The sequence below is a fragment of the Homo sapiens genome, chromosome 5, assembly GCF_000001405.40.
Source record: "Homo sapiens chromosome 5, GRCh38.p14 Primary Assembly".
Lineage (NCBI taxonomy): Eukaryota > Metazoa > Chordata > Mammalia > Primates > Hominidae > Homo > Homo sapiens.
In genome coordinates, this window is record NC_000005.10 from 112,323,508 (window position 1) to 112,346,864 (window position 23,357).

At 40.6% G+C, this 23,357-nt stretch overlaps 1 protein-coding gene across 15 annotated transcripts in view, besides 3 other annotated features; it reads right to left on the bottom strand.

The window, feature by feature from the left end:
* EPB41L4A (erythrocyte membrane protein band 4.1 like 4A) overlaps positions 1-23,357 on the bottom strand; it is a 278,107-nt gene that overhangs the window by 181,679 nt on the left and 73,071 nt on the right. The window lies entirely within an intron of this gene.
* Positions 6,091-6,621: an enhancer, noted in NCBI's record as "NANOG hESC enhancer chr5:111665295-111665825 (GRCh37/hg19 assembly coordinates)". NCBI's record gives its function as "activates a minimal SCP1, AML or CMV promoter by ChIP-STARR-seq in primed H9 embryonic stem cells {active_cell/tissue: H9 hESC(primed)}" and the evidence as "EXISTENCE:reporter gene assay evidence [ECO:0000049][PMID:30033119]".
* Positions 8,465-8,759: a silencer, noted in NCBI's record as "tiled region #6283; HepG2 Repressive non-DNase unmatched - State 24:Quies". NCBI's record gives its function as "represses a minimal TATA promoter and a strong SV40 promoter by Sharpr-MPRA in HepG2 cells {active_cell/tissue: HepG2}" and the evidence as "EXISTENCE:reporter gene assay evidence [ECO:0000049][PMID:27701403]".
* Positions 15,551-15,751: a silencer, noted in NCBI's record as "peak5419 fragment used in MPRA reporter construct". NCBI's record gives its function as "represses an SCP1 promoter by STARR-seq MPRAs in K562 erythroleukemia cells {active_cell/tissue: K562}" and the evidence as "EXISTENCE:reporter gene assay evidence [ECO:0000049][PMID:32103011]".

Here is a 23,357-nt window from a genome sequence, read left to right on the forward strand (position 1 = left end):
TTCCAAAAACTTATTTATGTGAACAGGCAACTCAACTACTCCTTATTAAGTAAATACCCTCTACTCAGTCCCACAAATCTTATTTTATCAAAAACGTTGTCTAATTATATGTCCCTGCGTTGAACAACGTACCTTAAACCAGACCCTAAAAAGTCTCATAAATTCCCCATCTTTGCCCTCCTTCCTCTGAAATGGTCAGTGTAACAGTCTCCCTTACCACAGTAAGCAATAAACTGGGTTTTGCTTTATTTAGAGGTTATTCTGCAACCTTTTTGGGGAATCAGTAGTCACAGACTAAAGATAAAAAGGAAACTATATAGTCAAACAAACTGAACAGTGGATTTATAGAGGAAAAAGAACCAGATTAGCATTAGATTTCTCAAATGCAACACTGGAAACTAGAGCACAATTAAACATTGACTCCTGAGAGAAAACTCCCAGCCAAGATGTTGTTCACCTGTCAGGGCAAGCAAAAGGCCTTTTTTCAACATGCAAGAACTTAGAAGCTACTTAACCAATGAACCCAATCTAAAGAAATCTTTGAGGATATGCTCTAATAGACAGAGTTCTAAAGATATGAAAGATCAAGAGAGAGAAAAGTGGCACAGTGTATCTAAATGAGGCCAACATAAGCAGGAATTTACAATTTAACTATTGTTTTAAGGAGAAGAGACATACAGGAAGAGAAAACTTAACAGATGAGAACGAAAAATTCTAAACTATCTCAGTAAAACTAAGGGGGGATATTTATTTTTAATTTTTGTAATCAATATAGAATTTTAAATTACAGCTGTTCTGAAAGTTTCTAGTGAGAAAGTAACCACAGTAGGATTTTTTAAAAGGTAGGAAATTCTGTGTTAATGATGAAGTGATACAAAACTAAAGCAGAGGTCAGGAGTTTGAGATCAGCCTGGTCAACATGGTAAAACCCTGTCTCTACTAAAAATACAAATGGTGCCTGTAATCCTAACACTTTGGAGGCCGAGGCGGGCAGATCACGAGGTAAGGAGTTCAAGACTAGCCTGGCCAACATGGTGAAACCCCATCTCTACTAAAAATACAAAAATTAGCCAGGCGTGGTGGAACGCGTCTGTAGTCCCAGTGACTCGGGAGGCTGAGGCAGGAGAATCACTTGAACCCAGGGGCGGAAGTTGCAGTGAGCCGAGATCACACCACTGCACTCCATCCTGGGTGACAGAGTGAGAGTCTGTCTAAAAAAAAAAAAAAAAAAAATTAAAGCAGTATGACTCAAAGATGTCACAAAAAATAAGGGGAGGGGACAGAGAATTGAAGAGAAATTTGACCATGCAGCAAAAGAGTAAATAATAATAAAGTATAATAAACAGTAAATTAAAAACAAATGAAAAGAATAAAATAAATAAGTATTTATGATACTAAATGTGTGGTAGATGAGCTACAACAATCTTTTTGAAAAGTAATGAAACAGTAGCTATCATCATACTTGTAACTAGCTATCTCACTTAGGAAGAATCTATTCTATGGAAATAAAAGTGCCAGGTATACATACAAGGATGGCTGTTAGTAGTAAAAATAAAATCCCCTAATTTGGATGACCATCAATAGAAGAATTGTTGAATAAACTGTAGTCATCCAAACTGCGAGAAATTACGCACAATTAAAAAGAGAGTCAGGGCCGGGCGCGGTGGCTCACGCCTGTAATCCCAGTACTTTGGGAAGCTGAGGCGGGCAGATCACGAGGTCAGGAGATCAGGACCATCCTGGCTAACATGGTGAAACCCTGTCTCTACTAAAAATACAAAAAATTAGCCGGGCGTAGTGGCACACGCCTGTAGTCCCAGCTACTTGGGAGGCTGAGGCAGGAAAATGGCATGAACCCAAGAGGTGGAGCTTGCAGTGAGCGGAGATAGCGCCACTACACTCCAGCCTGGGTGACACTGCGAGACTCCGTCTCATAAAAAAAAAAAAAAAAAGGGAGAGTCAGATAAATGTGTGTTGAACTCAAGTGATGCCCATAAAGTACTTTAGCTATAAAAGCAGAGTAGAGTTTTAAATGGGTGGTAAGAAGCTATTATTTTTCTTTATGCATCTCTGTATTATTTTTAACTTGTTAACATCATGCTTTAGTAATTTCAAAAATGTCTTAAGAAAAGGTAATGAGGAGGTCATTTCAAAGCCAAAGAACAGCACAGACCAATGTTCAGAGGTAGCTGAAGGGTGAGTTGGGGACGTAGGTTTCATCCAGCCCTACTTGCAACCTCGGCAGGCTGCTTAACCACTCAGTTTCTCAGTTTCTTCATTTGTGAGATGGGATAACTGAACTCAGTAAAGGTCATCCCCAGCTCTGGTATTCTATGAATATGTTAAGAAAACTACAGGACGGGCACAGTGGCTCATGCCTGCAATCCCAACTACAGCAACTCAGGAGGCTAAGGTGAGAGGATTGCTTGAGGCCAGGAGTTTGAGACCAGCTAGGGCAACATTGTAAGACCCATCTCTAAATAAATTTTTAAAATTAGCCAAGTGGGTGGCACACACCTGTATTTCCAGCTACTTGGGAGGCTGAGGCAGGAAGATTGCTTGAATCCAGGAGTTCAAGGCTAGAGTAAGCTATGATCATACCACTGTACTCCAGCCTGGGAGACACAGTGAGACTCCATCTCTTAAAAAAAATTTTTTTTAAATTAAACTATACACCAAACCATTCGAAATCTTCCACTGACTGCCTCTCTTTCCTAACATTAACATCCCCAGGATCAGGTGGAGGGTCGGTGCCCCCAATCCACCTCAAAGGCATGCCAAACCCCGCATCCAGAAGGAAATTCCATCACAGGGTTATAACTGCCAGACCTACACACAACCACAACACACAAATAGTTCACCAGAGCCTTTTTGTCAAACTGGGCCCTCCCAGTTTCATGGCAGAGGCAACAAACCCCCTTAAGGAATTATGGGCTAAGCAGTAATTCAAAATAATTTTAGTAAAAAACACTTTTTTCCATCTGAAATTTCTATAAAATATAAAAAGGAAAGATTGCTATTAGAACAAAAGTTCTACCAATGGGCTTTTGTCTTTGTAAGCTCTCTCAACTCATCATGCCTCTGCTGTGTCTTGTTCCAGTGCGCTGCTATTTCATTTACCATTGCTTACTTCGGCACTCCTAAAAAGGATGTTATGTGTGGCAGTTCACACTGCAAAATGCCAGTACTCTCCTGAACTCGCCCACTGTCTTCTGTTTTCATTACTACTTCCTTTATTCCTTTCCCTGCTTGTCTCTACTTTTAAGAATCAATCAAATGACTAATAGCCATTTACACATCTACACCATGTAACTTCTACATTCAATCAAATCTTCATAGGCAGCAGAGCAATAACAGTCATCACAGAATCCTTTAATCATTTAACAAATTGAACTCAGGATTCATTAAAAAAATATTCACTGATCACCTACCAATCACACTGTGCTAGAGACTTAACACTTCAATTAACCCTCACGACTATACTAGAGACCTTTAATACTGAGGTACTAAATCTTACAAACCTTACAATTGTGTCCCCACAAGGCAAGAGTAATCTCAATTTCACAAATAGGGAAAACAAGGCTGAGAAAACTCAGCTGAGCGAGTTGCAAAAGCCAAGAGCTAAAACCCAGATATAAGCCCTGGCCTTCTAAGTGCATGGTCTTTCCTGGACAAGACATTAAGACTCAAAATAATGAACAACATTTCTCACTAGGATGATTAGAAAAGGCTTTGTTAAAAAAAATTCAAGACATTATATACTCAAACAAGACTTCTATAAAGAAGAAGCTCCTCGTGTTTAAATTAAATGATTCTAAGAAATAAATATCCTCTAAAACTACCTTTAAGGATGTAGCAATGTCAAAACTACCTGTACCTACTCAGTAAGACATACCTGTTTCTCTTGTGGTAAGAATTGCAACTTAGACTGGGTGCAGTGGCTCACACCTGTAATCCCAGCACTTTGGGACACAAAGGTGGGAGAATCACTTGAGGCAAGGAGTTCAAGACCAGCCTAGGCAACACTGCAAGATCCCATCTCTACAAAAAATTTAAAAATTAGCCAGGTATGGTGACATACAACTGTAGCCCTAACTACTCTGGAGGCTGGGTTGGGAAGATAATTTGAAAGCCCAAGAGTTTGAGGCTGCAGTGAGCTATGATCACACCATTGCACTCCAGCTTGGGTGACAGAGTGAGATCCTGTCTCAAAAAAAAAAGAAAAGAATTATAAACTACAAACTTTAGCTACAAATAGAAGCACTGCACCTACAGTAAACATCTCGCAAGTAACAGAAAGGGAGAGAGGGAGGGAAGTGGGCAAGCAGAACTGGATTAGCAATGGGGTTTGGTTGTCCAGTCAAACCATTCTTCATGTTCACTGCAGTTCTACCATACATTTTCACTACATGCTGCCTCCACTATGAATTCATTTTGTTTCTGTTCATCCCTTTTCATTTTGTTCTAATATTTGGGCATTACAGTCCTTTAAAAAGATGCTATAAAATATTGGGGGAGAAGGCCGGACACGGTGGCTCACGCTCGTAATCCCAGCACTTTGCGAGGCCAAGGCAGGCAGATCACAAAGTCAGGAGATCGAGACCATCCTGGCTAACACAGTGAAACCCCATCTCTACTAAAAATATAAAAAATTAGCCGAGTGTGGTGGCACACACCTGTAGTCCCAGCTACTTTGGAACCTGAAGCAGGAGAATCACTTGAACCCAGGGGGCAGAGGTTACAGTAGGCCAAGATTGTGCCACTGTACTCCAGCCTTGGTGACACGGCGAGACTCCGACACAAAAAAAATAAAAAATCTTGGGGGAGAAAGATGTGAGAAGTTAAAATAATTCTAGTTGCACTTGGCTTTCCCAAAGAAAGATTATTACAAATAAAGATCTGTATTTTTGAACAGGAAGGGATGTATATCTGATAACCACTTTTCCATGGTTATATCTAAACTCATTTTTAACAAATGAAGTGATTTGGGATATTGCTATATAAATAATAAAATAGATCTAACATAAGAAACTTGCCCCAGAGTTGATTAATAACCAGAGTGGAGGCTAGAACCCATTTCTCCTGACAGCTCACTCTTCATCAAGCTCACTGATTTAAAACACCATTCAGGTTAACCCTCTGTAAGTAATCAATACGCACCTAGAAGTTTTAATCAAATCAGATTTTAACGTTGACACTTTTATTCCTGAAATGGCTGGACTTAATACTCAAATAACAAAGCTTCTAGTAAAACTTCTCAATTCCTTGCATTTTTTGGTTAGTTGATACATTAGAATGAAACACAAATGTGCTAAAAGAATTATTTAAAGTCTACATAATGAATTACCTTATGTGAATCACTAACTCCTAAATCACAAGTTTTGAAAACAGGTTTTCTTGCATCATTCTTAAACCAAAGTTCATAGTTTTTCCATTCTAAGAAGGTTTAACCAAAATGTACAGTGAAATAGTGGCAAATGCACAGTGAAATGTTTCAAAGCAACTTGAACAGTGTGTGTTTAACCAGCCCTTAACCTGAGAGCTGTGCAGTCCGATACGGTAGCCACTAGCCATGTGTGGCTGCTAAGTCCTTGAAATGCAGCTGGTCCAAATTGAGATGTACTATAAATATAAAATACACACTGGATTTTGAAGACCATATAAAAACAAAATTGCTAATTTTTTATTGATTACATGTTGAAATAATATTTTAGATATATTGAATTAAATAAAACGTTATTAAAATCATCCTTTTTACTTTTTAAATGCAACTAGCTGAAAATTTTAAAATTACAGATTTGGTTCTTATCATATTTTACTGAAGAGCACCATAGTGAAGTTTTTCTTACCAAAGGAACACAACTGCTGATAGCTGGCTGCCTGAGTTGGAGAAAGGACACTACTAGCTCTCATTACTAATTCTCTTAATACAAACCCTCCCTATTTAGTCCTGGCTCTGCTATTAACTAGCTGGGTGACCTGGAACTGCCACTTAATCTCTCTGGCCCTAAATCCTCATCTATAATCCTAGACAACATCTAATACCAAGTCATCATTTTAAACAATGAAGATGCTGAGACTCCACATTTCCTGCCTTCCGGTTCATGGCTCGTTTCACTGCACTACTGCACCATACACCCTTTCTGATTTTATCTGTTCAGTGGCTCCACAATACAACTCTAATCCCAGGGACTGCCCTGCAAATGAAATCCATGTCACTCTCTACAGGAAAAAGGGGGTGTGAATGGATCTGAGTACACCTAAGCCATTGTGGGGGAAATACTTTCAGCACCCCACCCCCTCTTCAGTTGAAGGTAGCAAGCCATTCCCACAGTGGGTGGCCCGCAGGGTTATCTGCCACATCAAAAAGAGAGGCTTTATGGTACTCTACCAAGCATCCTTACAGGTCTCCACAAGGCTATGTGACTGTCGGCAAGTCTGCTGAATCACTTTCAAACCGGATGTCCTTATTTGCAAAACAAATTAATAATATCTGCCCAACTGCACCACAGACTGGCTTGAAAGATCAAATAAAATGAATCTGGAGGCTTTAAAAGTATAAAGTATACTTTATACTTTTAAAGTATATGGTAGCAAGAACGGCTTGCTACCTTCAGCTGAAGAGGGGGTGGGGTGCTGAAAGTATTTCCCCCACAATGGCTTAGGTGTACTCAGGTCCATTCACACTCCCTTTTTCCTGTAGAGAGTGACATGGATTTCATTTGCAGGGCAGTCCCTGGGATTAGAGTTGTATTGTGTATAAAGCACCATATGGATAGTTAAGGTCTCATTCTTACCATAAAATGCTAGCCTAACCTGTACACAATCAGTGTCTCGGTTTTGCACTAACCAGGTTCTGCAGAACTGAAAGATGACAATAGGATACATTTTGGTAATTTGCTAAATTCATTTCTTTTTTAAGGGAAAAAATAAGGGTTGATGTACCTCTCGCATTGTCTTAAGTTTTAAAAAAGCAGGATGCAGGGTATCAGTGGCTTGCATGCATCCTGTATTTATTAAGTAGCAGCCATTGTTCCAAGTTATTAACATTATCAGATTCAATCAGAAGAATCCATACTGCAGATGAGAAAACTGAGGAATGGGGGGTAACTAGCCCAATGCCTTAAACATGGTAAGCAGAAGACGCAGAATTTGAACCCAGGCCAGCTGGCTGTGGAACCCATGTTTGCAACTGTGCTATCCTGCCTCTAGTGTGCAGAGTATTCTATTCTATCTTTGGTATAGGTTTAAAAAAAAAAAAGGATTATACTTCTGGGTCTGTGTATCAATATATGTTAATATGCATATTTTCATATAGATTTAGAAAAAAATCATCAAGAGTGATTACCTTCGGAGACAGCAGTTAGGAGGATGGAGTGTGGACAGGGTGAGGAGGGGCCTGCACTCTTCATTGTGTAAACTTCAGTACTGTTTCCATTTCCTGACCTTACGTATCTTGTTGAGGTCAACAGGCCATCTTCCGTAACAGAAGTCATCTTTAAATATGTGAAGGAGCTACCTTTCTCTTCTTAAAAATCCTTACCCAAAATGGTAAGGAAGCCACAGATTCTGTGTCAAGCAAGCCTGAGTTCCAATCTCAGTTCCCACTTCTTAATACTCACACAAATTTGGAAAAGTTTCTTAACTCTCTGTGCCCAGCTTCCTCTTCTAATGGAGGGCATGGAGGGACAACTCCATCTTCCTCACAGGTTTGTTGTGAAGGTCAATTTGTGCCAAAAACCCGGTCCAGAACTGGTGCCCTGCTATCATTCCAACACATTACCTTCCAACCCGTCCTCTCCTACAACTACCCAGTTCTGCTGGTTTTACATATAAACAAACCAGTGGAGAAGTGTTGACCATGCTATACCAGACAAAAGGCCCCAAACTGGAGGTCAAAATTCACTTCCTGCTTTCCTTGTTTATAACACACAGTGGGCACACAGCCTCAGGGATCCCCCAACTGAGTGTTCCCTGGGGTATCAGAGGGCTGGCATGCCCTGCTCCTCACTGATACTTTGTATATAGCATTGTCTGCCATCTGAACCACAGAAATACTTGGTGCCTGGGGCCAGAGCAGCTGAGGGTACCTGGTGAAGGCTGCCCAAGCGGGGCCTTCTGGGTACTATTGCTGCACCCCAATGAATGTCAGCAAAGTTCTCAGTCCCCACCCTGACACTGTATAAGCAGGATGCAGGATCTTCGCAAGTCCAGCTGATGGAGTTGGGAGGCAAGGGCCCTCGGCCCCCAGAAGCAAGTGGCCACCAGTCCCTTAACCAACATGAGTGACAGCAGCTGGAGGCTACCAACTCCATAAGGGATATGCTGTCCATGGCCCCCACAAGGTGCCTGCTTCTGAGGGCGTATTAGAACTACCTGGGTTTTTTCAATGCTAATCCCTGACCTTTCACCCTGCGCTGTCCAAGTGACTCCCAAGAACAGCCAGGGGTTAGAATCATAGGAGCATTTCTTGTTAAGAAACAAGACTACTCCAAAAAGCTCCCTCTCAGACCAAATGAACTGGGAACAGGAACAGAAACCGAAGGAATCTAAGGGATCTGGTGTGTGAACCAAGAAGGAAAGCAAAGGTTATCTGGACTTCCTCCTCTATCCTCAAGGAGGGAGTTCCAACACTGCTGCAGAGTCCTGCCTCTATTGTTCCAATTCCAGAATCTTAAGGATAGTGAGAAGAATAAAACACAGTCTTTTTGTTTTTAGTTCTCTATTCCTAACTATCATCCCATCTTTCTTTTGTCCACTTTTTCTCCTGTTTAAATTATTCTTGATGAAACATACACCCTTAGGTGGGTAGTACTATTTGCATTATTTGAAGTAATTATTTGGCTTGGGGACCACCCAGGACCTTGACTCCTCTTTTGTCTTTGTCACTGCCCATGTCACCATTAGTGGTATTTCAGAGTGTGAAAGGGTCTGCCATGAAATACATGCGTATTGATTTTTATTTTTTAAAGACCATAATAAAACTCTGGCTGAAGAGAGATGCATGGCACCAATGCTCCTGAATGACACCCCAGACTCTCTCTGGAGTCAGTCTTCTACTCCCCAACCTGGACAATGATTTTTCATCCCTGATTTTCTTTCTTTTCCCTCTTCCTTTGTGCATTCTTTTTTTCCTAAGCCTTATATTTGACTGACACCAGGTTATATTTTAGTCCCCCCTGCTAATTCTCGGAATAACAGAAGTTACCAACAATACAGTTACAATTAGCAACTGAAAATATGCACAGATATGGTGGAAGTTTGGCTTTTTAAAAACTCTGCCATATCTTCTAAAAAGCACATTATTCTTTTTGTAGAATTGCTTATACTTTTTGTGGCTATTTATAAATAGTAAAAGGCTTTCTTCCGTTACTGTTTTGAAAGCAACACAACATACCATCAAGACATTAGTGCCCAAGGTTTGCAGAAAGGTTCTCAGACACTCAGATCACACACAGCATGTGGTATGGAAAGAAGAGAGAAATGGTGGGTATTGATTTATAAGCATAAATTGCATTTAAGATATTATAGAGTTCCCAATGCCTCTAAAAAATGTGAAGATACTGCAATCATTAGTAGCTACTCTGCTGCTCAATAGCTCCCTTACTGCAGGACTATTATCTTTCTCTATCGGTTTAAAATGGAGGCACCCAAAGGGCTTAGAGCAGATCACAGTTGAGTCTCTGGCTGAGAAGCTGCACCCTGAGCAGGTTTCATTTCTTGGGGCAAGCTCCTAATTCCTTTCTGCTGGCCCTCCCCTCTAGGAAATATATTGGGGGGTGGGAGAGGGAGATGTCAAAAAGGGGGGAAGGGAAAACGGCAGGAATGTGCATGTCAACTGCATGCTGACCTTACCAGCCAATTAAGGAAATGCTCGGCTGGTCTCCGCAGGAAGCTGCAGCCAGTCTCCGATGGAAGGATAATGACTGTGACACCAAGCCCCAGGAGAAGGAGTGTGTGTGAATATTAAGTAAACACACATATTGACAGACAAAGCAGAGACAATCCAGGATGCTGTGTTTGCAGCCCCTATTCTCAGAAATGGATAGGTTGGTCATGAGGAGAGAATGCTGTCTTCTCAATTGCCTGACTCTCTGGTCCTGTTTTCTCCCCCACTCTCTCCCCTCCACTCACACACCGTATGAGTTGCAGTCTCTCTCTCTCTGTTACATACTGACAGCAGATCTAATGCCACTTTTCCAAGACACATGTCACCAGTTCTCTTTTTGCATAAATGCTTTTCTGGCAACCCGGCTGTCTGCCAGGGCCTCTGATTAGCCAGGAGGGATATCACATTGAATTATTCTATGTTCACACTTGATACTGTTACCATCAGTTTCCCCCATAAATGTAAAGAAGCAGCTAGCTCAGCACCAACCTTAGATCATCTAAAGGACTGCAGTATACTATCAACAGCGTAAACCAAAAATAAAATTCTAAGTTTCCCAAACTGATGGAATGGACCCTCCTCTCATCCAAGGGGACCCAGTGAAACCTGAAAAACTAGTTCAGGCCATGATGGGAACGGGTTGCGGGGTGAGGGCAGTCAGACAGTCAGATGTGCCTTATTATACGCTCCTCCCTTTGGAGTTCAGGCACACAGCCAACCATTATTAATATTAAAATAAAGATCCTAAAACTGACAAAACAAACCCTTTTTGTAGCAACAAGATACCAATTCCAACCTGACTTTGGTATATAACATCACATACATCACATAACAAATAGCAGACCCTAAAAGGAAATCAAAGTATTTTACCCCAAAATATATTTCTTTGACATATTTTGAAATGGCCCTGCAAAGCTGTCTCTTGTGGGGGAAATTTACATTCTGTGTAGAATCTCTTTCCCAAGTGCTTTTCTGATCCTGAAGAGATTAGCTGAGAGTCTAGCACCTTTTATATATCTCAATAGGAAATATTTGCCATCTATTGCCTCTAAAGATGGCCACATATGAGACTTCATCTACATAATACAAACCTTAGTCTCCACAACCCCTTATCTTAACCCAGACACTCCTTTCTATTGATTCCAGGTCTTTATATAATAATTTATCTCTGTCTACCAACTGCCAGTCAGAAAAATCTTTAAATTCCCCTATGACATGTAACCCCATCATTCCCTTTGTGCTGTCCCACCTTTCTGGGCCAAACCAATGTATACCTTACATGTATTAATTTATGTCTTTGCCTGACTTCTGTCTCCCTAAAATGTATAAAACCAAGCTGTAACCCAACCACCTTGGGCGCATGTTCTCAGGACCTCCTGAGGCTGTGTCATGAGTCATGATCCTTAATTTTTGCAAAATAAACCCCTAAACTGATTGAGACCTATCTGAGACATGTTTTGGATTACAACAGTGAGTATAAGAAAATAAAAACTGATATAAGGGGTCTGGGTATTTCACAGATGTCCTACCAAGCAAAGATCAAACTTTAGGAGAGAACACAACTTTAGGAAATGTTTCACAAAACACTGGCCTATACTAGGGTACAGCCTCACCCCGAAAGTCATGTTCATTTTCGTGAAGTCAATATGGCCCAGGAATAACCACTCTGTCAAGTAGAGGAACAAAGCCTCCTGGCTTTGCACTGATTGGGCACAAAGGAGCCCTGGACACAGGATGTCTCGTCAGGTCCTGGCCAGGGCTTGGCACAGAGTACAGGAGGGCAGGGGAGAGATTTCCATTGCCAAGAGGCACAAAAACAAAAGCAACTGTGCTAGAGTCTGTATCTATTAACACCCAAGCACCAACTCACAGAGGGGATCAGTGTTAAGGACCCTCCTTCTTGAACAGTCAGACACCTTTTAAGCCTTATAAGAGGAAGATTAATCGATTTAACAGAAAAAAAGTGAACCTAATGTAGATGTATAAGCAGAAAATGTTTACCACTTTCTTTGAAATCTTACCAGATCTATATAGTTTAAGAGATACAGAATATGAGAAAAAGCAGTCCAGTAGGTTGAATGCTTCTAGACATTCATGTCTATTAAATCAGGCCCTCAAACTGGCATTTTCCAGATGGCCATTTTACCAAATTACGCCAGTCAGACATTTTTACGACTAGAACAGGATTTCTGGGCATGAACCTGACCATGGCTCTCCACCTCCACAGTCATTGCCTGATAGGAGGCATCTCCACTACTGCAAGTGCCTCCTAACTGGTGTCCCCATATCTACTTCTGCTCCTGTCTCCACAGAGCAGCCAGAGAGAGAGAATTTTAAGATGCAAACTTAACATCTTCTGGTTTAAAATTCTTCAATGGCATTCCAATATAATAAAAACAAAAACCAAATTATCTACACCTTGATCTCCAAGCCCTCTCTCCATGATCTAGTCATGACCCATCACAGCTGGTGTTTCTCTCCCCTCACTCTGAGGGTCCAGCCACTCTGGACTTCTTTCCACTGATGCTTCACACCTGCTATCTCCTTCGTCTAGAAACAGTACCGTCCCCCAGTCTTTTTTAATCCATCAGGCACCACCCTCACACGCCCTCAAAGTTGTGTTTCATGATTCCCTACACCAGGCAAGGAAAGGCCTCCTGGAGGAAATGAGAACTAACAAATGAGGAGGGTTTGGATAAGTGGGATGGGAAGGGTCTTCCAAGAAAGAGGGAAACACAAGTGAAGGCACAAAGGAGTATGAGAAAGCAGTCACACATTACTAGTTCAAGGAGCAGTGGCAAATCCAGAAACAAACACATTTTAAGTTAATTTTAAGACCAAAGATGGATGGGGAGGGGGCAGTGGAAATTGAACCTGCATCGACTTGTTTGAGAAAGTGCAGGTCAAAAAGCTTCAAAGTGGGCTGTTCAGAGTTAGGTGGAGTAAGGCGCTTTCCTCTGCATGTCACTGGTTGGGGGCGGGAGTTCAATTCCAGAGTATGAAATAGGAGGCCTGTGGCATTATTCTTTCCTGTGTTCCAGAAGGCAGATTTCCTCATCCCGCCAACCCCTTTAAAAGGCTTCAAAGTGGGGTGATTCTTTACCCTGTACACATTATACTGTGGTGGTCATTAGAGCTGTTCGCCAAATACTTCCAGTGGTACAAGAGCACTTTCCTGGTCCCCTTGTGATTGGGTGGGGCCCTGTAATTAGGGCTTACCACTGAGTGGATCCAAAATGCAAAACCAAAAAGTTAGTCAGGGTGTGAGAGGCAAAAGTACAGAAAGGAGATGATGACAACATCCAAAGGCTTGGTGGCTGTGCCACTGAGATACAAGGTCAGAAAGCTAGAAAGAGAAGATTTTTAGCTGCAGAAATAATGAGTAGGTGATAGCTTTCAGAATTGACAAATGTCCTAGAGGTATTTGGGGTCAATTACATGTCTTTCAACTTTCTCAAGGCCATGTCTAAAAACAATTTCTGATCTCTCAAGAGCAAAAGCATCTTTTCATTAGAGACTTCCCTTTTACAGTCTGTTCATATACCTTGCTCATAAGACAACAAATACAACCTGTCTGTAGTTATTTCACAGTGCCATTGAGAACCCAAACAACAACAGCTACCTGTCTGTATAGAAACAATATGCATTGTGGACATTAATCATTACCCCTCAGTGTTTACCTTTTGAGCCTGTCACGTGAAGGTTTTGTAAGATGCAATATTTCATCATTAATACTGATAATGCATGTGTACTGGGGCTCTTCAACCATATATAAATGAAATTTTATCAGCTTTTCCTCTGTAATTAATGAGATATCTAGCTACATATAAGTTTCTCTGAAATTCCATAATTTGATCATTACAAAGCCCAAACCCATCTGTTATAGTCAGCTTTGCCACAATTCAGTCTGGTCTAACACAATCTACTATAAAATCCGGTACCACATCCCCTATGTCAAACGTTTGCTGGGTATCTACCATATATCAACCACCGTGTTAAGCACTGTTTTATCAGTAATGCTACTAATAATTGCTAACATTTATTGAACACTTAAGATGTTCAGGCTCTGTTTGAACTGTTTCCATGCAGTATCTCAGTCATCACAAGATCCCCACAGACTGGTGAAACTCCTGTCTCCTTTCATAGACAAAAGGACGGAGGCTCAGAGAAGCAAAGTGATTGACCTAAGGTCACACAGTAAGTGGGAGGACAGCATAACCCCCGAGTTCATATTCCCTGCTACACCATATACAAGGATCCTAATTTCAATAAAGCATCTCCTGCCCTCAAGAGTGTTACAATACATAAGAAGTGATAAGGGCATCTAAACAAAAGCCCTATCTGACCCATATTGTAAAAAAAGTACTGGGGAAAAGGTGCTAGGAAAATTGAGAGGAGAAAGTGAACTCTTCTAATATGAGTGGTCAGGGCAGGCTTCTCACAGATGGAAGCCTTTGGGCCATTCCTTGGAAGTGAAAGTCAGGAGCGGGCATCCCTGGAGGACAGAACAGCAGAAACAAAGGTACCAATGACTGCAAGAAGGCACTGGGCACATGGAAAGACAAAAGAGGACCCCATTTGTCTGAGGGTGAGATATCTCCTAAATCGCTCGCCTTGCCTCCATCCCCTTAGGTTCAGGTCAGGCCTTCAACCTTCTTCCCATCCACATCCCTGCCTCTTACCCTCCAAAATGCCATGTGTCACCTTTTCTAAAACACAAGCAGTGTTCCTTGCCTTAAAAAATATGCCCATGAATACAGTGAAATTCCTCTGGCATGACATTTGAAGCTGACTTTACTAATCTCAGTCTTCTCACACCCCTGAGTATCCCATCTCATCTGCTCTCTAGCCAAACTAAACTGCTACCTTCCCATAGCAGATCAGCTTCTCAGACCCCTTCAAACCTTCAAAGAAGCTACTTTCTTTGTGGGGAGCCCTTTCTCCCTGTCTGCTGGTGACCCCCCTACCAACTCTTCTCTCGGCACTGTCTCAGACTGCCTGCCCACCTGCTCCGGCTCTCTCCAGCATGGCTGGCTCCCTGCTGTTAACCTGAACAAGCCCAATACATGGTCATACCAGGTCGCTGCACCTGTGCTCCCTCACCAGGAAGGCCCTTCAAACCATCAGGTATCCTATGATTTGTTTCCCCCACTGTCTGGAGATGGGGGAGGCTTCCTCTACCAGCGTATATAAAAAAGAACACCCCCCGCCACCACACACAAAAAGATACCTAGCTTTCCATTCTCTTCGTAGCAGTTATAACTTGACAAACACATACACACATTGTGTATTTGTTAACGGCCTCCCTCACCCTCTAGAACAGGGTTGGAAAACTACAACACATGGGCCAAATCTGAGTCACTGCCTAAGCATTTATTAGAACACACGTCCACTATTGTTTTACACATTGTCTGTGGCAGAGTCCAAGAGGTGCAACAGAGACCTAATGGCCCACAAAGCTCAAAATATTTATTGCCTAATCATTTACAGCAAAGGTTTGCCAACTACTGCTCAAGAATGGCTATCTCCCTCTGTCTCCTGCTGTGCTCACACTTTATCTCCAGACCATTTTGGCGCCTTACCTAGCATGCAGTAGGCACTCAGAGAACATTTGTAAATAAAAGAAAGTGACAGGGTGGGGGAGAATGAAGGGAGAAGAGCATATGAATGCAAGAGATACTGGAGGGAAAAATCAACAGGCCTGGCGACTGGGTTTAGGTGCCAGCGAAGAGAGCAGGAATTGCACAATAGGAGCTTTTCAAATGTGGCTGTGTTCCTTGGCCAAAGGATGAGATTCTAATCATCAAACCATAAACACAAGCTGTGAATCAGGGCTGGCTATCACACCACTGATGGGTTTAAAATAACAGTGTCAGGCTCCTTGACAAGGTCAGTCAAGGCCTGACAGCACTGCCCCCATAAATAAACTGGCTCCATTATTATAGGACTGAAGTATACAGTGGAGAGTCAAAGTTTTGGTAACCACAAATAACACACATAAATCTAAGTAGCTAACAATACAGTAACAAATAAATATATTTAAACAAGGAGATATATAGCTATAGATATATATATATCTATATATATATATATATATATCTATATATATATATAGATATATAGATATATATCTATATATATATATATTTTTTTTTTAGACAGAGTCTCATTCTGTTGCCCAGGCTGGAGTACAGTGGCCTGATATCGGCTCACTGCAACCTCTACCTCCTGGGTTCAAGCGATTCCCCCGCCTCAGCCTCCTGAGTACCTGGGATTACAGGCACACGTCACCATGCCCAGTTAATGTTTTTGTATTTTTAGTAGAGAGGCGGTTTCACCATGTTGGCCAGGCTGGTCTCCAACTCCTGACCTCAAGTAATCCACCTGCCTTCGCCTCCCAAAGTACTAGGATTATAGGCGTGAGCCACCACGCTTGGCCAAGCTTATAAATTTCAAATGCATAAATATTTAAGCAAATAATAACTTCAGACCTCATGGAAGAGACCTTTTAATTATTAATAAATATCACTCTCTGGGCTCACAGATGAGAAAACCAGGGCCTAGACTAGTTAATCACTCACGTCATGTCACCCAGTTGGTTAATAAGAGAAAGTTGGAACAGAGAACCAGAACTCCCGATTAGGGCCCCATGTGGTTCCCTCATATCCAATGCTCACAGCAGCATGAGAAAAGTCACGGAGGAGAGCCCATCGACCCCGCCCTTTCAACAAAGTGTTAAGGTCAGAGTCAAGTCTGCAAAAGATTGAGGGAGTGACGGAAGGAAAGGAAGATCTACCCAATTAGGAACCCCAGTGAAGATTTCTGGCTCTTATCCAACTTGACCTCTCTGTAGCACAGTGGTTCTTAAAACTTTAGGATGCATCAGAGTCAACCGATGGCCTTGTTGAAACAGACTGCTAGGCTCCACCCCCGGAGCTCCTAATTCAGCTGATCTGGAGTGGGGCCCCAAAATGCACGTTTAACAAGATCCCAGAGGATGCTGATGCTGCAGGTCCAGAGAACACATTTTGGGAACCACTGCTGTAGCATTTAACCATGACCCCTGCTTTGGCTTTTATCACACTTCTTATCTGCCTCTCTGGCCAACAGTTTGAGAAGGGTGGGAAGTCTTACTTAGATTACTTCCTTCAATAAGGAAATATTTTCTAGTTCTCATATAAAGACTAAATAGCAATAAAAACAGATCCCTGCTCTGTAGAACATCAATTTTTAAATGGATGTATAATAGCATATTAAGGTATTATTTTTACCTTTTATATTCGCTAGTTCTGATGTAACTACATGTACGTTTCTGCCAATTTTCTTTCGGTGATATGAATTTTGTTTATAAATGATCCATTTAAAAAGGACGTATATTGTTGCTCCTATGTCTACTCCCTGGATAGAGATTCAATTTCGACAGCAAGCCCAAAACATTCACTCAGCCCTATTGTAAACATAAATATATTTCATACATAAGTATCCATTTACATATACCCTTCGACCTTTCCACCTACTGTTCACAATGCAGGGATTTTTCTTTCCCTCTATCAAACAGCCACATGGCTTAGTCCCTTACTTCATTCAGATTTCTGCTCAAATGTTACCTTCTCTGGAAGGTCCTCTGCAAGCACCACTCCATAATAGCAATCCTCCCCACACGCCATCTCTCCTATCCCCATCACCTACTTTGTTTTTCTTTACGTTTATTGTATATTAATGTTTTCACTGTTTAATTGGTCTCCTTCCCATGAGAATGAAAGCTTCATGGGAACAGGGACTTTTCAGTTCATTGCTCTGTCCCCTGAGCCTGGTATGCAGGACACTCAAATTTTAATTAAATTGTTGAATGAATGCTTATCAACTTCCAAAAATCCCACATATAACTGTGTTTGATTATAATGCCTTAACCTTCCTAAAACTGATACAAATGTTTCTTACTCCTCTCATAACCAGTTCTTCAATGAATAATTTTCCAAAAACATACTGTGTGTGTATGTATTGTATTCGGTACCGTTGGTCCAAAAATTATTTTAATAGCAGGGATCATCAAATGTAGCTTTAAAGTATCTGATGCTTTAACTGTCAACTGAAATATCACAGCAATAGGATCCTCTGAAACCAATTTCATAACCTCACAAATCAGCAAGGCAGATGAACCATTAAAAACATCTTTGTTGATGGTTCACATCCAACAATCCCAAAAGAAAGTAATTTTAAAAATTAAAAGCTTGGCCAGGTGCAGTTGCTCACGCCCATAATTCTGGCACTTTGGGAGGCTGAGGCAGGTGGATCACTTGAGTCTAGAAGTTCAAGACCAGCCTGTGCAACATGGCAAAACCCTGTCACTATTTAAAACACACACACACACACACACACATACACACACACCCCAAAAGTTGTATTGTTCATCCATAACTACGTCTTGAATAACACTCTAAACATAGAGCCCTGTATCAAAAAGAAAAATGGAAAAAATATTTTTGGACAGTAATCCCAAATCCTATATATAATCTTAGCTTATGAGAAGACAGTATAACAGTATTAAAGGTACAAATTAAATGTGGGGAAATTTCTTCAAATAACTATATTTAAAGTCAAATAAAACCATTTCCTCCTATAGAATGGATCAAGAGAATTCACGAAACATTATGCAACTAGAAACTGTAAAACTCTGTCACAGAAATATATTCTTGGGAGACACAAACTAAAACATATTAAAATCTTCCCTTTTATAAAAAAGAAGTTAACAAATAACCATTTTTATAAAAGACAAGATACTGGGTAATGAAGAGAAATACTATACACAACATGTATGATCAGACAACCATGATGACTGGACGTGATAACATGCTATCCCAAGTGGCTCACCAATTTCCATTCCTGTCCTGTCTTTGCTCCTTTTCCCACTGAATTACAGAAACATGAAATTTATCTTATCACTGGTCTTTCCTGATAACTTTTCTAAAGCATTCACAGAATGCTTTATTCATAGAAATTGTGCTCAGCACAATCCAGTGTGGTGGGCTGGAGGTAACAGGCAGTCCTGACAAGTAGGTGTGCTGGTGGCAGATTTTACAGAGTTGCAAAAGCACCAGGCACATTTTCAAGGCCCTTTTATCAGCCAGGCCAATTTCCCCACGTGATGCATTAGTTACCAGTTTAATCCAATACATGTGAAATGCATTAGAGCTGAGGGTCTATTGTTCCTAGTCGAGCAAGAGCAGTCAGCAGTCAGCAGCCAGCAGCAGGAGCAACTGCCTCCATGGCCACCTGGGTTGAAGAAGTAAGCAGATCAGACCCAAAGGGGTGGACTTCATAAGAGAGCACCACTGAGACTCTCGTAGGTCACTTTTATGCTGCCAGTTGGCAGACTGGCATACAAAGTAAGAAAATTCCATCGTGCACAGATACACACGTTTTGTAGTAAATTGCTACACTTCTGAGGCATTCACTCCCAAGCACACATTTCAGCAGTCAATCTTGTCACCATAAACAAATCCCTTATAACCTAGAAACTATGCAAAGTACTTTGGATAGAACGGTTTCTAAACAGGTTTCTTAGAGGATTTCTATAATGTACAACTGACTTTAAATGAAAAGTGTCATATTCAGAATGTGGCCGATAGAAATAGATCCCATTTGGAAGCAACTAGCATACAAAGCACAAATAAGAATTTGGGAATAACAGACAGTTGGCTTTACAGAGAGGTATACACTTTCCATAACAGTTTTTTACATTAAGGGTTCTCAAGTGCTTTGAAGCATTAATTGATTCCATTCTCCCAACAGCCCCCGAAAAACACTTGGTCAAATTTAGGTTCATAATTTCAAACACATCCTAAGAGGCAGCTAAAAATGAGTTTCTCAGTCCTTCTGCTTAAGAAGAAATATATAGTATGGAGACAAGGTACTACAGTGATTAAGAATTCAGATTCTGGATCCAGACTGCCTGGGTTTGAATTTCAACTTTGGTACTTACCAGCTGTGTTATATTGGGGAAGTCATTTGTCCCATCTGTAAGACGGGAATATTAACAGCATGTACATCACAGGGCCACTGTGAGAACTGACATAATGTATGTAAAGTACTTAGCGAGTTCCCAGCACACAGCAAGTACTCAAGTTTAGCTATGCTGTTGTTGGTGTTGCCATCACCACGACCACGTTCACCACCACTGTCTTCACCATCATCATTACCACCACCACCAAGACCACCATCATTTCAGAACAGAGCTTAGGTTCTGAAGCCAGACTTGGCTTTTAACTCAGTTTACAAAACCAAACCTTCACAAAATAATCTATCAAATGAGTAGGAGTATCTAGCAAGAATAAAAATCCAATTTTTTTCAACAAATAAATAGCAAGAGAGAGAGAAAACCACTGTTTCTGAAAACAGACTCAACCAATTACAATGCACAGCCCTCTTTTATATTCTGATTCAAACTATTAAAAATACATAACCATTTATCACACTTATGAAACAACATGGAATGTTAAAATTGACTGGATAAGCCAGGTATGGCGGAATGCACCTGAAGTCTCATATACTTGGGAGGCCAAAACAAGAAGATTGCTTGAGCCCAGGATTTCAAGTCTGTAGTATGCTACGATTGTGCCTGTGAATAGTCACTGTACTCTAGCCTGAGCAACATAGTGAGAACCAATCTCCTTTAAAAAATTGATTTGATATTTGATAATATTATAGGAATTATTAAACGTTCCACTAGATAATAGGATTATGGTTTTTTAAAAAATAAAAAAAAGGCTAATCTAAGTTCAATATCATAATCACTACCCACATGAGGCTATCTAAACTTTAATTAAACAAGAGTAAAAATTTAGGTCCACAGTCTCACTAGTCATATTTCAAGTACTCAACATCTACATGTGGCTCAAGTCCTGTCCTTACAGAAAATTCTGTAGGACATCCCTGGGCTAGAAATACACACTTACTAGAACATTAATTTACAATGACCAGGATTTGCTTCAAAATAAAATAGGAATGAGAGAAGCAGATGGAGATGTGGATGAGGCAAGACTGGTTTATAGTGTTTGTTGTACATGGGGGTTCACTGACCAACTCTGATAACAGTTTTAAGTGAACTTGGTTAGGCTATGCTCCTCAGTTATTCAATCAAACACTAAGTGTTTCTGTGAAGATACTATGTAGGTGTGATTGAAGTCTATAAGCTGTTTACGAGATTATCCTAGACAATTTGGGTGGGTCAGATTCAATCCATTACAAGGCCTGAAGGGCAGAATTGAGGCTTCTGGGAGAAGAAATTCTGCCTGTGTCCGCAGCTCAACTCCTGTCCAGGAGTCCCAGGCTGCCCTCCCGAGGTGCTGCCCTATGGAAGTCAGACTCACTGGCAAGCCCACACAATCACAGAAGCCAAGGACTTACAATGAAACTGAATATATAGCACCTACTGGTTCTCTTTCTCTGGTAGAAGTAGACTGTACAGTACAGAAAGAGACTGGAGTGCTTGACTTTTATTTAAGAATGTCTATTTTACAAAGCCACTGTGACAAACAACTATAAATATCTTAACATAGTGCCTGCCACATAAGAAGTCTCAATAAATGGTAACTATATTATTTCCTCATTTATACCAATATAATCTTATTTTGCCAAAATTTACAATTCCTGAGACACAAGGCACTCACATATTATAATGACTTGGTATTACTCTTTTCATTTCAATCTTGCCTATCTGGCACAGCCTGACCACAGGCTCCCTTTGGGGCATGGCTGAAATGGCCCACAGCATGTCCAGAGTTGGCCCCCAAGCATAGATTCTCGAATTAAAACTGAGTTGAATCAAATTAAATTGACACATACACAAAAAATCCACAACTGAGAAAAAAGTTTTATGCAATTACATTTGTAAGTCTTCAACCTAAATATGAAATAATAGGGAACTGACTATATAAAATTGTAGTAAATATGGATAATAGATATACAGTGGCTGTTACATACCATGTTTGAACACATATTTAATGACACTTAGATATGCTGAAGATATGTTAATTTTTTAAAGTAGGCTGCAGTATTCTGTAAGATCTCTTTAAAAAAAAAGATACATTAGACTAGAAGGAAATATACAAAAATGTTAACCATGGTTGTCCCTGGGTACTGAGATTGTAGAATAATTTTTTATTACTGGATTGCAATATATTATTTATACAATGAAATGTACAAATCTTAAGAATACAGTTTGGTGAGTTTCAATTCACCATCACCACAGAATGTTACCTAATGCCCTTTTACAGGGAGGGCATGTGTGTGTACGTGTGTGTGTTTATGTGTGCACACGCATGCAGTGTTGTAGGATGTGCACAATGCTACAGGATGCATATATATATATACATATATATATATACACACACACACACACACACACACACACACACACACACACACGCACACATAAAGCCCCAGCAACCTGGGATGATTTTTATTTTCTTGTTATACTACTACATTTTCCAAATTTTCCAATATAAACACCTATGTATTTTATAATTTAGGTAGTTTTGATATTTTTTAATTTTTAAAATAGTGAGTTGAAATGGGATATAGTTAATTGATTTCACTGACAAGGACAAGGCAGATCAATGCATTAATGTAATAGTCTTAGATTACTAGAAAGACTAAGAACAAGACTGTTAGCCACACACTCCACAATTATTTTTGCTGTTTCCAAGACTGCCATCGTTTTGGGATGCCACATCATTTATTCACAAAGATATAACCATATGTTGTAATTCCATGAAACACACCTGGTAGAAAAAAATTCTTTAAAGTTAGGTACATTGCATTTTTTTTTTTTTTTTTTTTTTTTTTTGAGAAGGAGTCTCGCTCTGTCGTCTAGGCTGGAGTGCAGTGGTGTGATCTCGGCTCACTGCAACCTCCGCCTCCCGGGTTCAAGCGATTCTCCTGCCTCAGCCTCCTGTAGCTGCGATTACAGGCATGCACCACCACACCTGGCTAATTTTTGTATTTTTAGTAGAGATGGGGTTTCACCATGTTGGTCAGGATGGTCTCAAACTCCTGACTTTGTGATCCACCCACCTTAGCCTTCCAAAGTGCTGGGATTACAGGCATGAGCCACTGCGCCCAGCCTGTATGCTCTTACCTAACAAAAGAAACCAAAAGTGAAAGAACTAATAAAATGCCTAGAGGTTACAAAAAACTGACAGAAGTCAAACTTTGAGTATAGATCATTCTGGTTCTCACCAAAAACGTTAGCCCCAGTAGTTCATAAACAGAAACATGGCAACCATAGACCACACTGCAGAAATGTACAAGACTATCAACCCTTTGTAATGTTGTTTTATAGTCATAACCTAAAATAACTAAAACTAGGCTTCAGTAAAACAGAATTTGCATTTCATTATTTCCTTATTTCAGCAGTCAATACAAGTTTTAGCCACAGAAATCCCCTCAAGCTTTTTGGGCAATGGCT